At 37.2% G+C, this 13,439-nt stretch overlaps 1 long non-coding RNA gene across 1 annotated transcript in view, besides 1 other annotated feature; it reads right to left on the reverse strand.

Moving 5' to 3' along the window:
* Positions 1 to 13,439, reverse strand: part of LOC105370262 (uncharacterized) — a 41,390-nt gene that overhangs the window by 2,731 nt on the left and 25,220 nt on the right. The window lies entirely within an intron of this gene.
* Positions 11,040 to 11,540: an enhancer, noted in NCBI's record as "H3K4me1 hESC enhancer chr13:76817421-76817921 (GRCh37/hg19 assembly coordinates)". NCBI's record gives its function as "activates a minimal SCP1, AML or CMV promoter by ChIP-STARR-seq in naive H9 embryonic stem cells {active_cell/tissue: H9 hESC(naive)}" and the evidence as "EXISTENCE:reporter gene assay evidence [ECO:0000049][PMID:30033119]".

Raw genomic sequence — 13,439 nt, forward strand, 5'->3', positions numbered from 1 at the left:
AAATGGATAATAACAGAACTTCCCAAATCTGTAGGAAGATATCAATATCCAAGTACAAGAAGGTTATAGAATACCAAGCAGATTTAACCCAAAGAAGACTACCTTAAGGCATTTAATAATCAAACTCCAAAGGTCAGGGATAAAGAAACAATCCTAAAAGCAGCAAGAGAAAAGAAACAAAAAACATACAGTGGAGCTTCAGTACATCTGGCAGCACACTTCTCAGTGGAAAACTTACTGGCCAGGACAGAGTGGCATGATATATCAAAAGTACTGAAGGAAAAAAAAAAACAAAAAAAAAACAAAAAACCATTTACCCTAGAATAGCATACCTGGCCAAAATATCCTTCAAACATGAAGGAAAAATAAAGACTTTCCTAGACAAATAAAAGCTGAGGGATTTCATCAACACCAGACCTGATATACAAGAAATGCTAAAGGGAGTACTTCAATCAGAAAGAAAAGGATGTTTATGAGCAATAAGTAATCGCCTGCAGCTGCAAAATAAGCCTGCACTCACTGATAATAGTAAGTATACAGAAAAAGAGAATATTGTAACACTGTAAGGGTAGTGTGAAAACTACTCTTATTCCAAGAAGAAAGACTAAACAATGAACCAATCAAAAATAATAATTACAATAAATTTTTGAGATATAGACAGCACAGTACAACATAAATAGAAACAACAAAACGTTTAAAAGTCAGGTGAGGAAGTTAGGGCTTACAGTTTTTGTTTTCTTTTTGCTTGTGTTTATACAGTGTTAAGTTGTTAACAGCTTAAAATAATGGTATTTGCAAGCCTCATGGTAACCTCAAACCAAAAAACATGTAACAGGTACATTAAAAATAAAAAATGAGAAACATTCACATCACCAGTCAAAATCACCTTCACTAAAAGGAAGACAGCAAGGAAAGAAAGAAGAGAAGACCATAAAACAACCAGAAAACAAAGAAGAAAATGACAGGAGTAAGTCTTTACTTATTAACAACAACAATGAATGTAAATAGGCTAACCTCTCCAATCAAAAGCCACAGAATGGCTGAATGGATTAAAAAACAAGACTCAGTGATCTGTTGTGTGCAAGAAACACACTTTACCTATAAAGACACACATAGACTGAATATAAAAGTATGGAAAAAGATATTCCATGCCAATGGAATACCAAAAAAAGAGCAGGAGTAGCTATGCTTATATCAGACAAAATATATTTCAAGACAAAAACCATAAGAAGAGACAGAGGTCACTACATAATGATAAAAGGGTCAATTCAGTAAGATAAGAATTTTAAATATATATGCACCCAACACTGGAGCACCCAGATATACATAAAGCAAATATTATTAGAGCTAAAGAGAGAGGTCCCAATAAAATAACTGGAGACTTCAACACCCCACGTTTAGCATTGAACAGATCATCTAGACAGAAAATCAAGAAGGAAACATTGGACTTTATCTGCACTATAGACCAAATGGAAATAATAGCTACTTAAAGAACATTCCATCCAGTGGCTACAGAATGCACTTTCTTTACTGCAGCACCTGGATCATTCTCAAGGATAGACCATATGCTAGGTCACAAAATAAGTCTAAGACATTCCAAAAAATTGAAATAATACCTTCTCTGATCACAGTGGAGTAAAACTAGAGAGCAATAACAAGGAATTTTGGAAGCTATACAAATACATGGGAATTAAACAATATGCTTCTGAATAACCAGTGTGTCAATGAAGAAAGTAAGAAGGAAATTGAAACATTTCTTGAAACCAATGATAATGGAAACATAGCACACCAAAACCTAAGGGATACAGCAAAAGCAGTACTAAGAGGGAATTTTATAACTATGAAAACCTACATCAAAAAAGAAGAACTTCCAATAAATAATCTTACAATGTATTTTAAAGAACTACAAAAGCAAGAGCAACCCAAACAAAAAATTAGAAGAAAAGAAATAGTCAAGTTCAGAGCAGAAATAAATGAATTTGAAATGAAAAAGAAAAAAGCCAAAAGATCAATAAAAGTGTCTCTTCTTGGCCAGGCATAGGGGCTCACACCTGTAATCCCAGCACTTTGGGAGGCTAAGGTGGGCAGATCACAAGGTCGGGAGATTGAGACCATTCTGGCTAACAGGGCGAGACTCTGTCTCTACTAAAAATACAAAAATTAGCCAAGCATGGTGGCGTGTGCCTGTAATCCCAGCTACTCCAGAGGCTGAGGCAGGAGAGTCACTTGAACCCAGGAGGTGGAGGTGGTAGTGAGCCGAGATCCTGCCACTGTACTCCAGCCTGGCAACAGAGTGAGACTCTGTCTCCAAAAAAAAAAAAAAAAAAAAAAAAAAGTCTCTTCTTGTCCTTTGCCCACTTTTTAATGGGGTTACTTGGTTTATTTTCATGTGAATTTGTTTAAGGTCCTTATAGATGCTGGACATTAGACTTGTGTCAGATGCATAGTTTGCAAAATTTTTCTCCCATTCTGTAGGTTGTCTATCAATAGTTTATTTTGCTGTGCAGAAGCTCTTTAGTTAAATTAGATCCCATTTGTCAATTTTTGCTGTTGTTGCAATTGCTTTTGTTATCTTTGTCATAAAATCTTTGCCAGGTCCTATGTCTAGAATGGTATTGCCTAGATTGTCTTCTAGGGTTTTTTTTTTTCAGTTTGGGGTTGTACATTTAAGTCTTTAATCCATCTTGAGTTAATTTTTTTATATGGAGTAAGGAAGGGGTCCAGTTTCAATCTTCTGCATATGGCTAGCTAGTTATCCCAGCACCATATATTGAATAGGAAGTATATTCCCCATTGCTTGTTTTTGCGAGCTTTGTTGAAGATCAGATAGTTGTAGGTGTGTGGCCTTATTTCTGGGCTCTTAATTCTGTTCCACTGGTCTATGTGTCTGGTTTTGTATCGGTACCATGCTGTTTTGGTTACTGTAGTACAGTTTGAAGTCTGATAAAGTGATGCCTCCAACTTTCTTCTTTTTGTTTGGGATTTCCTTGGTTATTAGGGCTCTTTTTTGGTTCTGTATGAGTTTTAAAATAGTTTTTTCTACTTCTGTGAAGAACATCATTGGTAGTTTGATAGGAATAGAATTGAATCTACAAATTGCTTTGGGCAATATGGCCATTTTAACAATGTTGATTCTTCCTATGCATGAGCATGGAATGTTTTTTCATTTGTTTGTGTCCTCTCTGATTTCTTTGAGCAGTGTTTTGTATTTCTTATTGTAGAGATCTTTCACCTCCCTGGTTAGCTGTATTCCTAGGTATTTTTATTCTTTTTGTGGCAGTTGTGAACGGGATTGCATTCCTGATTTGGCTCTTGCCTTGACTGTTGTTGGTGTATAGGAATGCTAGTGATGTCTGTACATTTATTTTGTATCCTGAAACTTAGCTGAAGTTGTTTATCAGCTTAAGGAGCTCTGGGGCTGAGACTGTGTCGTTTTCTAGATATAGAATCATGTCATCTGCAAACAGGAATAGTTTGACTCCCTCTCTTCCTATGTGGATGCCTTTTATTTCTTTCTCTTGCTTGATTGCTCTGGCTAGGACTTCCAATACTATGCTGAATTGGCATGGTGAGAGAGGGCATCCTTGTCTTGTGCCAGTTTTCAAGGGGAATGCTTTCAACCTTTGCCCTTTCAGTATGATGTTGGCTATGGGTTTGTCATAGATGGCTCTTATTATTTTAAGGTATGCATGCAGCCAACAAGCATAGAAAAAAAAAAAACATTTCCATTGATGCTGAAAAGCTCTTAATAAAATTCAATATTCCTTTATATAAAAACTCAAAAAACTATATAGAAGGAACATACCTCAACATAATTAAAGCCATATATGAAAGACTCACAGCTGGTATTATACTCAATTGGAGAAAACTGAAAGCCTTTCCTTAAAGATCTGGAACATGACAAGGATGGCCACTTTCACCACTCTTATTCAACATAGGACTTGTGGTTCTACCTAGATCAATTAGACAAGAGAAAGAAATAAAGGGCATCCATGCTGGAAAGGGAGAAGTCAAATTATTCTTGTTTGCAGACGGTTTAATCTTATATTTAGAAAAACATAAAGACTCCACCAAAAAAAATCTATTAGAACTGATAAACAAATACAGTAAAGTTTAAGAATGTAAAATCAACATATAAAAATTTGTAGCATTTCTATATGCCAACAGTAAAGTCTAAAACAGAAATTAAAAGGTAATCCCATTTACAATTAAAATTAAATACTGAGGAATTAACCAAGGAACTGAAATATCTCTATAATGAAAACTATAAAACATTGATGAAAGAAGTTGAAGAGGACAACAAAAAAAATGGAAAGATATTTCATGTTCATTGATTGGATGAATCAATATTGTTAAAATGTCTATACTGCCCAAAGTAATCTACAGATTCAATGGACTCCTTATCAAAATACCAATGACATTTTTCACAGAAATAGAAAAAAAAATCCTAAAATTTATATGGAACCACAAAAGACCCAAAATAGCTTAATATCTATCCTAAGCCAAAAGGACAAAATTGGTGGGATCACATTACCCAACTTCAGATTATATACTACAGAGCTCTAGTAGCCAAAACAGCATCGTACTGGCATAAAAACAGACACATAGACCAATGGAACAGAACTGAGAACCCAGAAAGGAATCCACACACCCACACACCTTTGTGAACTCATTTTCAACAAAGATGCCAAGAACATACACTGGGGGAAAAAAAAACAGTCTCAATAAATGGTGCTTGGAAAACTGGATATTCATATGCAGAAAAATGAAACTAGACCCCTATATGTTCCCATATACAAAAATCAAATCAAAATGTATTAAAGACTTTAAGACCTCACAATATGAAACTACTACAAGAAAACTTTGGGGAAAGTCTTCAGGACATTGGTCTGGGCAAAAATTTCTTGAGCAATACCCCACGAGCACAGGCCACCAAAACAAAAATGTGCAAATGTTGTCACATAAAGTTAAAAAGCTTTGCACAGCAAAGGAAACAATAAAGTGAAGAGACAACCTACAGAATGGGAGAAAATACTTGTAAACTACTTGTCTGACAAAGGATTAATAACTGGAATATATAAGGAGCTTAAATAACTCTATAGGAAAAAAATCCAATAATCCAATTTTTAAAATGGGCAAAATATTTGAATAGACATTTCTCAAAAGAAGACATACAAATGGCAAACAGGCATATGAAAATGTGCTCAACATTACTGATCATTGGAGAAATGCAAATCAAAACTATAATAAGATATCATCTGACTCCAGGTATAATGGCTTATATCCAAAAGAAAGGTGGGAACAAATGCTGGCAAGGATATGGAGAAAAGGGAACCCCCATCCACCGTTGATGGGAATGTAAATTAGTATAACCACTTCGGAGAACAGTTTTGAAGTTCCTCAGAAAACTAAAAACTGAGCTACCATATGATCTAGCAATCCCACTGCTGGTTGTATACCCAAAAGAAAGGAACTCAGTATATCAAAGAGAGTGATCTGCACTCCCATGTTTTTTGCAGCACTGTTCACAATAGCCAAGATTTGGAAGTAACCTATTTGTCCATCAACAGATGAGTGGATGAAGAAAGTGTGGTACATATATACCATGGAGTATTCTTCAGCCAGAAAAAATAATGAGATCCTGTCACTTGCAACAATATGGATGGAACTAGAGATCATTATGTTAAGTGAAATAAGCCAGGCACAGAATGACAAACATTGCATGTTCTCACTTATTTGTGGGATCTAAAAATCAAAACAATTGAATTCATGGAGATAGACAGTAGAATCATGGTTACCAGAGGATGGGAAGGGTAGTGTGTCTGGAGTTGGGGGGGCTTAGGGCAAGTTGGGGATTGTTAATAAGTACAAAAAATAGAAAGAATGAATAAGACCTAGTATTTGATGGCACAACAAGGTGACTATAGTCAATAATAACTTAATTGTACATTTTATAGTAACTGAAAGAGTATAACTGGATTGGTTGCCACGCAAAGAATGAGTGCTTGAGGGAATGGATACCCTATTTCCAATGATGTGGTTATTACGCATTGCCTGTCTGTGTCAAATCATCTCATATATGCAACAAATATATACACCTACTATGTACCCACAAAAATAAAAAAGAAAAAAGAATTTACAAACAATAAATAATGTTAGATTTGAGTATTTTCTATGATACTAAACTATATTATGACATTAAACCAGGTAAGATGTCTCAGGTTGTTTCCTGGCACAAGTTATCTAGGTTAAGGAGCCTCAGTTCAGCCATCTATAAATTGAAACAGCAGTGCTCAAAAGCCCTTCAGCTTCCTACAATTCTATATTGCATTTTCATGACTCTTGTTGGGTTACCTGTAACTATTTTTAGGATCTAAGTTTGCCTTCTTCCAGGTGCTCTGAATGTTCCTTGACATATTTTCTGTGCTGTCAGTTGATGTGTGTGACAGGGAATGTCAACTAATTGTAATATTAATCTAAAAAGGCTATTATTCAAAATCAATTTGTGATGTTTATCAAAATTAAGGAGCAATGATCCTTGTTTGTCTACAGTGTAGGCAGGGCATGTCATTGCAGGTCTTTTGCAATATGTAAAATAAGAAGCTGACATTATTTGTGTTCAAGTCCAAAGTAGCATTTTGGGAAATTCTGGAGCTATTTTAGATTTTTTTTTAAAATCAAATTTCATTGGACCTAGTGTGTGTGTGTGTGTGTGTGTGTGTGTGTGTGTGTGTGTGTGTGTAACTATTTGAGTACACTTTTTTCTTATGGCTTCCAATAGCCTCAAAGGCTCAAAAAAATGAGGAAGATTATAGAAATGAAAAATAAGAAATAAAGAAAAACCTCATGCATGACTATGGGTTATTTTATAATAATTGGTCAGTGATTGGAAGCTTCTGAAACCATGGTCTGGAACATTAAATTGCAAGCTCGTAACTGAATATCATAGTATCAATTTTCTGAAATTTGACCCAAGAAAATTTAGAACACTTATGAAATAACAGGGCAATGATTTCCCAAAACACTCATATTACTGAAATTGGAGATGATATGGGAACATAATAGTGAAAGCAAAATACTAAGATTTTGTGGGAAGATATTTTTGAGTCTTCAATGTGAAATTGAGAATTGATTAAGAGGTGACTTTGTGGTGGCCAATTAGGAAAAAGTTATTTGTGTCTACATGTTTCACTAAGTCTAGTGTCTGGAATTTGTGTTAGTTAAGTAACTATAAATAAAAATGAGCTGCCACTCAGGCAGTTCTGACTTTGGAATTCCATAAAAGATAGTGCTACAGGAATCCATTTGCAAAATTTAAAAAGGAATCCCATAATTCTTGCAGAATAGTGGGTTTCGTGAATTGTTTTAGCACAAAGACACCACCATTCACGATCATAGCAAACTACTCAGAAAAGTCGTGTCCCTGGGAAACAGTTAAAGCTTAAAGAGTGTTGGATTCTTTTTTTTTTTTATACTTTAAGTTTTAGGGTACATGTGCACAATGTGCAGGTCTCTTACATATGTATACATGTGCCATGTTGGTGTGCTGCACCCATTAACTCGTCATTTAACATTAGGTGTATCTCCTAATGCTATCCCTCCCCCCTTCCCCCACCCCACAACAGGCCCTGGTGTGTGATGTTCCCCTTCCTGTGTCCATGTGTTCTCATCGTTCAGTTCCCACCTATGAGTGAGAACCTGCGGTGTTTGGTTTTTTTGTCCTTGAGATAGTTTGCTGAAAATGATGGTTTCCAGCTTCATCCATGTCCCTACAAAGGACATGAACTCATCACTTTTATGGCTGCATAGTATTCCATGATGTATATGTGCCACATTTTCTTAATCCAGTCTATCATTGTTAGACATTTGGCTTGGTTCCAAGTCTTTGCTATTGTGAATAGTGCCGTGATAAACATACGTGTGCATGTGTCTTTATAGCAGCATGGTTTATAATCATTTGGGTATATACCCAGTAATGGGATGGCTGGGTCAAATGATATTTCTAGTTCTAGATCCCTAAGGAATTGCCACACTGACTTCCACAATGGTTGAACTAGTTTACAGTCCCACCAACAGTGTAAAAGTGTTCCTATTTCTCCACATGCTCTCCAGCACTTGTTGTCTCCTGACTTTTGAATGATCGCCATTCTAACTGGTGTGAGATGGTATCTCATTGTGGTTTTGATTTGCATTTCTCTGATGGCCAGTGATGATGAGAATTTTTTCATGTGTCTTTTGGCTGCATAAATATCTTCTTTTGAGAAGTGTCTTTTCATATCCTTCTCCCACTTTTTGGTGAGGTTGTTTGTTTTTTTCTTGTAAATGTATTTGAGTTCATTGTAGATTCTGGATATTAGCCCTCTGTCAGATGAGTAGATTGCAACAATTTTCTCCCATTCTGTAGGTTGCCTGGTCACTCTATGGTAGTTTCTTTTGCTGTGCAGAAGCTCTTCAGTTTAATTAGATCCCATTTGTCAATTTTGGCTTTTGTTGCCATTGCTTTTGGTGTTTTAGACTTGAAGTCCTTGCCCATGACTATGTCCTGAATGGTATTGCCTAGGTTTTCTTCTAGGGTTTTTATGGTTTCAGGTCTAACATTTAAGTCTTTAATCCATCTTGAATTAATTTTTGTATAAGGTGTAAGGAAAGGATCCAGTTTCAGCTTTGTGCATGTGGTTAGCCAGTTTTCCCAGCACCATTTATTAAATAGGGAATCCTTTCCCCACCTCTTGTTTTTGTCAGGTTTTTCAAAGATCAGATGGTTGTAGATATGCGGCATTATTTCTGACAGCTCTGTTCTGTTCCATTGGTCTATATCTCTGTTTTGGCACCAGTACCATGCTGTTTTGGTTACTGTAGCCTTGTAGTACAGTTTCAAGTCAGGGAGCGTGATGCCTCCAGCTTTGTTCTTTTGGCTTAGGATTGACTTGGCAGTGCGGTCTCTTTTTTGGTTCCATATGAACTTTAAAGTAGTTTTTTCCAATTCTGTGAAGAAAGTCATTGGTAGCTTGATGGGGATGGCACTGAATCTATAAATTATCTTGGGCAGTATGGCCATTTTTATGATATTGATTCTTCCTACCCATGAGCATGAAATATTCTTCTATTTGTTTGTATCCTCTTTTATTTCACTGAGCAGTGGTTTGTAGTTCTCCTTGAAGAGGTCCTTCACGTCCCTTGTAAGTTGGATTCCTAGGTATTTTATTCTCTTTGAAGCAATTTGAATGGGAGTTCACTCATGATTTGGCTCTCTGTCTGTTATTGGTGTATAAGAATGCTTGTGATTTTTGCACATTGATTTTGTATCCTGAGACTTTGCTGAAGTTGCCTATCAGCTTAAGGAGATTTTGGGCTGAGACAATGGGGTTTTCTAGATATACAATCATGTCATCTGCAAACTGGGACAATTTGACTTCCTCTTTTCCTAATTGAATACCCTTTATTTCCTCCTCCTGCCTGATTGCCCTGGCCAGAACTTCCAACACTATGTTGAATAGGAGCGGTGAAAGAGGGCATCCCTGTCTTGTGCCAGTTTTCAAAGGAATGCTTCCAGTTTTTGCCCATTCAGTATGATATTGGCTGTGGGTTTGTCATAGATAGCTCTTACGATTTTGAGATACGTCCCATCAATACCTAATTTATTGAGAGTTTTTAGCATGAAGTTTGTTGAATTTTGTCAAAGGTCTTTTCTGCATCTATTGAGATAATCATATGGTTTTTGTTGTTGGTTCTGTTTATATGCTGGATTATGTTTATTGATTTGCGTATGTTGAACCAGCCTTGCATCCCAGGGATGAAGCCCACTTGATCATGGTGGATAAGCTTTTTGATGTGCTGCTGGATTCGGTTTGCCAGTATTTTACTGAGGATTTTTGCAGCGATGTTCATCAGGGATATTGGTCTAAAATTCTCTTTTTTTGTTGTTTCTCTGTCAGGCTTTGGTTTCAGGATGATGCTGGCCTCATAAAATGAGTTAGGGAGGATTCCCTCTTTTTCTATTGATTGGAATAGTTTCAGAAGGAATGGTACCAGCTCCTCCTTGTACCTCTGGTAGAATTTGGCTGTGAATCTGTCTGGTCCTGGACTTTTTTTGGTTGGTAAGCTAGTAATTATTGCCTCAATTTCAGAGCCTGTTATTGGTCTATTCAGAGATTCAACTTCTTCCTGGTTTAGTCTTGGGAGGGTGTATGTGTCCAGGAATTTATCCATTTCTTGTAGATTTTCTAGTTTATTTGTGTAGAGGTGTTTATAGTATTCTCTGATGGTAGTTTGTATTTCTGTGGGATCGGTAGTGATATCCCCTTTATCATTTTTTATTGTGTCTATTTGATTCTTCTCTCTTTTCTTCTTTATTAGTCTTGCTAGCAGTCTATCAATTTTGTTGATCTTTTCAAAAAACCAGCTCCTGGATTCATTGATTTTTTTTGAAGTTTTTTGTTTGTGTCTCTCTTTCCTTCAGTTCTGCTCTGATCTTAGTTATTTCTTGCCTTCTGCTAGCTTTTGAATGTGTTTGCTCTTGCTTCTCTAGTTCTTTTAATTGTGATGTTAGGGTGTCAATTTTAGATCTTTCCTGCTTTCTCTTGTGGGCACTTAGTACTATAAATTTCCCTCTACACACTGCTTTGAATGTGTCCCAGATGGCCGAATAGGAACAGCTCCAGTCTAGAGCTCCCAGCATGAGCGATGCAGAAGATGGGTGATTTCTGCATTTCCAACTGAGGTACTGGGCTCATCTCACTGGGGAGTGTAGGAAAGTGGGTGCAGGACAGTGGGTGCAGCGCACCCAGCATGAGCCGAAGCAGGGCGAGGCATCGCCTCACCCAGGAAGTGCAAGGGGTCAGGGAATTCCCTTTCCTAGTCAAAGAAAGGGGTAATGGATGGCACCTGGAAAATCGGGTCACTCCCACCCTAATACTGTGTTTTTCCAATGGTCTTATCGGCACACCAGGAATTTATATCCTGCTCCTGGCTCGGAGGGTCCTAAGCCCATGGAGCCTCACTCATTGCTAGCACAGCAGTCTGAGATCAAACTGCAAGGCTGCAGCGAGGCTGGGGGAGGGGCGCCCGCCATTGAGTAGGTAAACAAAGTGGCTGGGAAGCTCGAACTGGGTGGAGCCCACAGCAGCTCAAGGAGGCCTGCCTGTCTCTGTAGACTCCACCTCTGGGGACAGGGAATAGCCAAACAAAAGGCAGCAGAATCCTCTGCAGACTTAAATGTCCCTGTCTGACAGCTTTGAAGAGAGTAGTGGTTCTCCCAGCACGCAGCTGGAGATCTGAGAACGGACAGACTGCCTCCTCAAGTGGGTCCCTGATCCCTGAGTAGCCTAACTGGGAGGCATCCCCCAGTAGGGGCAGACTGACACTTTACACGGCCAGGTACTCCTCTGAGACAAAACTTCCAGAGGAACGATCAGGCAGCAATATTTGCTGCTCACCAATATCCGCTGTTCTGCAGCCTCCGCTGCTGATAACCCAGGCAAACAGGGTCTGGAGTGGACCTCCAGCAAACTCCAACAGACCTGCAGCTGAGGGTCCTGACTGTTAGAAGAAAAACTAACAAACAGAAAGGACAGCCACACCAAAACCCCATCTGTATGTCACCATCACCAAAGACCAAAGGTAGATAAAACCACAAAGATGGGGAAAAAACAGAGCAGAAAAACTAGAAACTCTAAAAATCAGAGCTCCTCTCCTCCTCCAAAGGATTCTTTTTTATTGTTTAAACATCTGTAGCATCAGTATGATATTGAACTTAAAAGGAAAACAATTATTTGCATGTATGTTAGTACTGCACCAGCTCTTCCACCTATCAACTACATGAGTTTGGGAAAATCATTTCATTTCCCTAAGCTACTTACTGACATTATTTTGAGGTTTATAGAAGAAAATTCATAGGATACAGTAAAACTCTACATATGTAACATTATTGCATTGCATTTAAAAAAAAGCATTAAGAATTATTTAAGCACATATCCCCTAGTTAGACAAAGTAAAAACTTTTTAAAGCAGCATTTAAATCCAATGCAATGTCTTAAAATATAAGCACTACCAATTCTTATCACTGTTTTCTTAAATGTAGTTAACTTTTAATTATTAGCAGTGGATTGCCCACATAGCAATTTATCAACAGTAAAGCTTCATACCTTCAACAGAAGCATTGTGCTAGGATATACTTTGATTACTTTATCTGTGTGATTTTAATTAAAATGCAATGTTTAATGCTAGAGGGAAAATTGTTTGGGTTTTCTCTTTATACTTCACTAAACTCAGAAAAAGATATTGAAGACACATTTCACTTTTTAATCCTTACCTAAACATCCTAAAAATTATGAGAAAAAATGCAGCATCGCAAGGAAAATTGTTGAATAATATTATCTTGAATATTCGCTGTTTGCAAATTTCAACAATTTAAGAAAAATGCTAACTTTACATATACGACCATATGATTTCTGCGATTTGTTTCAGCATAACTCAGTGGAGGATGGGAAGGTTACGTATGTGTAGATATATATGAAAAAACATTTGGAAGGCATTGTTGATTGTGGAAACTGAAGAGGTTCATTTTACTATTCTCTCTACTTTAAAATTTTTATGCTGAAATGTTAACAATAATATACATAAAATGAGAAAAAAATTATTAGGTGATTTGCTGGCTTATAAATCCAATGGAAGAAAAGAAATCCTAAGAGTTAATATGAAATACATTTCATCCAAGTACGTTTCAAGAGCATTTCCTTTAGGAAAGTTTCAAAACCTTATGAAAACTGATAATTCATTCAGATTGTAGCATGGTCATGTTATGATCCTCTGATGCTTAATATTGAGTGTCAACTTGATTGAAGGATGCAAAATATTGTTGCTGGGTGTATCTGGGGGGGGGGTTTGCCAAAGTAGATGAACATTTGAGTCAGTGGACTGGGAAAGGCAGACCCACCCTCAATCTGGGTGGGCACAATTTAATCAGCTGCCAGCTCAACCAGATTAAAAGCAGGCAGAAGAGCGTGGAAAGACTAGACTGGTTTACTCTTCTGGTTTCTATCTTTCTTCCGTGCTGGATGCTTCCTGCCCTCGAACATTGGACTCCAAGTTCTTCAGCTTTGGGACACAGACTGGCTTCCTTGCTCTTCAGCTTACAGATGGCCTGTCATGGGACCTCACCTTGTGATCCCTGTGAGTCAATACTCCTTAATAAACTTCCCTTTATATCTACATCTGTTCTATTCTGTCCCTCCAGAGAACCCTGACTATGGCAGATGCCAACTAAATAGCTTCTCTCTATTATGGGAAATACTAACAGTTTGTATTTCATATTAAGTTCTCTGTCATTATACGATTATTTTATGTCATCCAGACACTAAAGTTATAAACACAGATTATGACATGTGAAAATAAAATTGTATAGGTTATTATTTAGAGGTTCCTAAACATTTCATGATTTG

The sequence above is a fragment of the Homo sapiens genome, chromosome 13, assembly GCF_000001405.40.
Source record: "Homo sapiens chromosome 13, GRCh38.p14 Primary Assembly".
Lineage (NCBI taxonomy): Eukaryota > Metazoa > Chordata > Mammalia > Primates > Hominidae > Homo > Homo sapiens.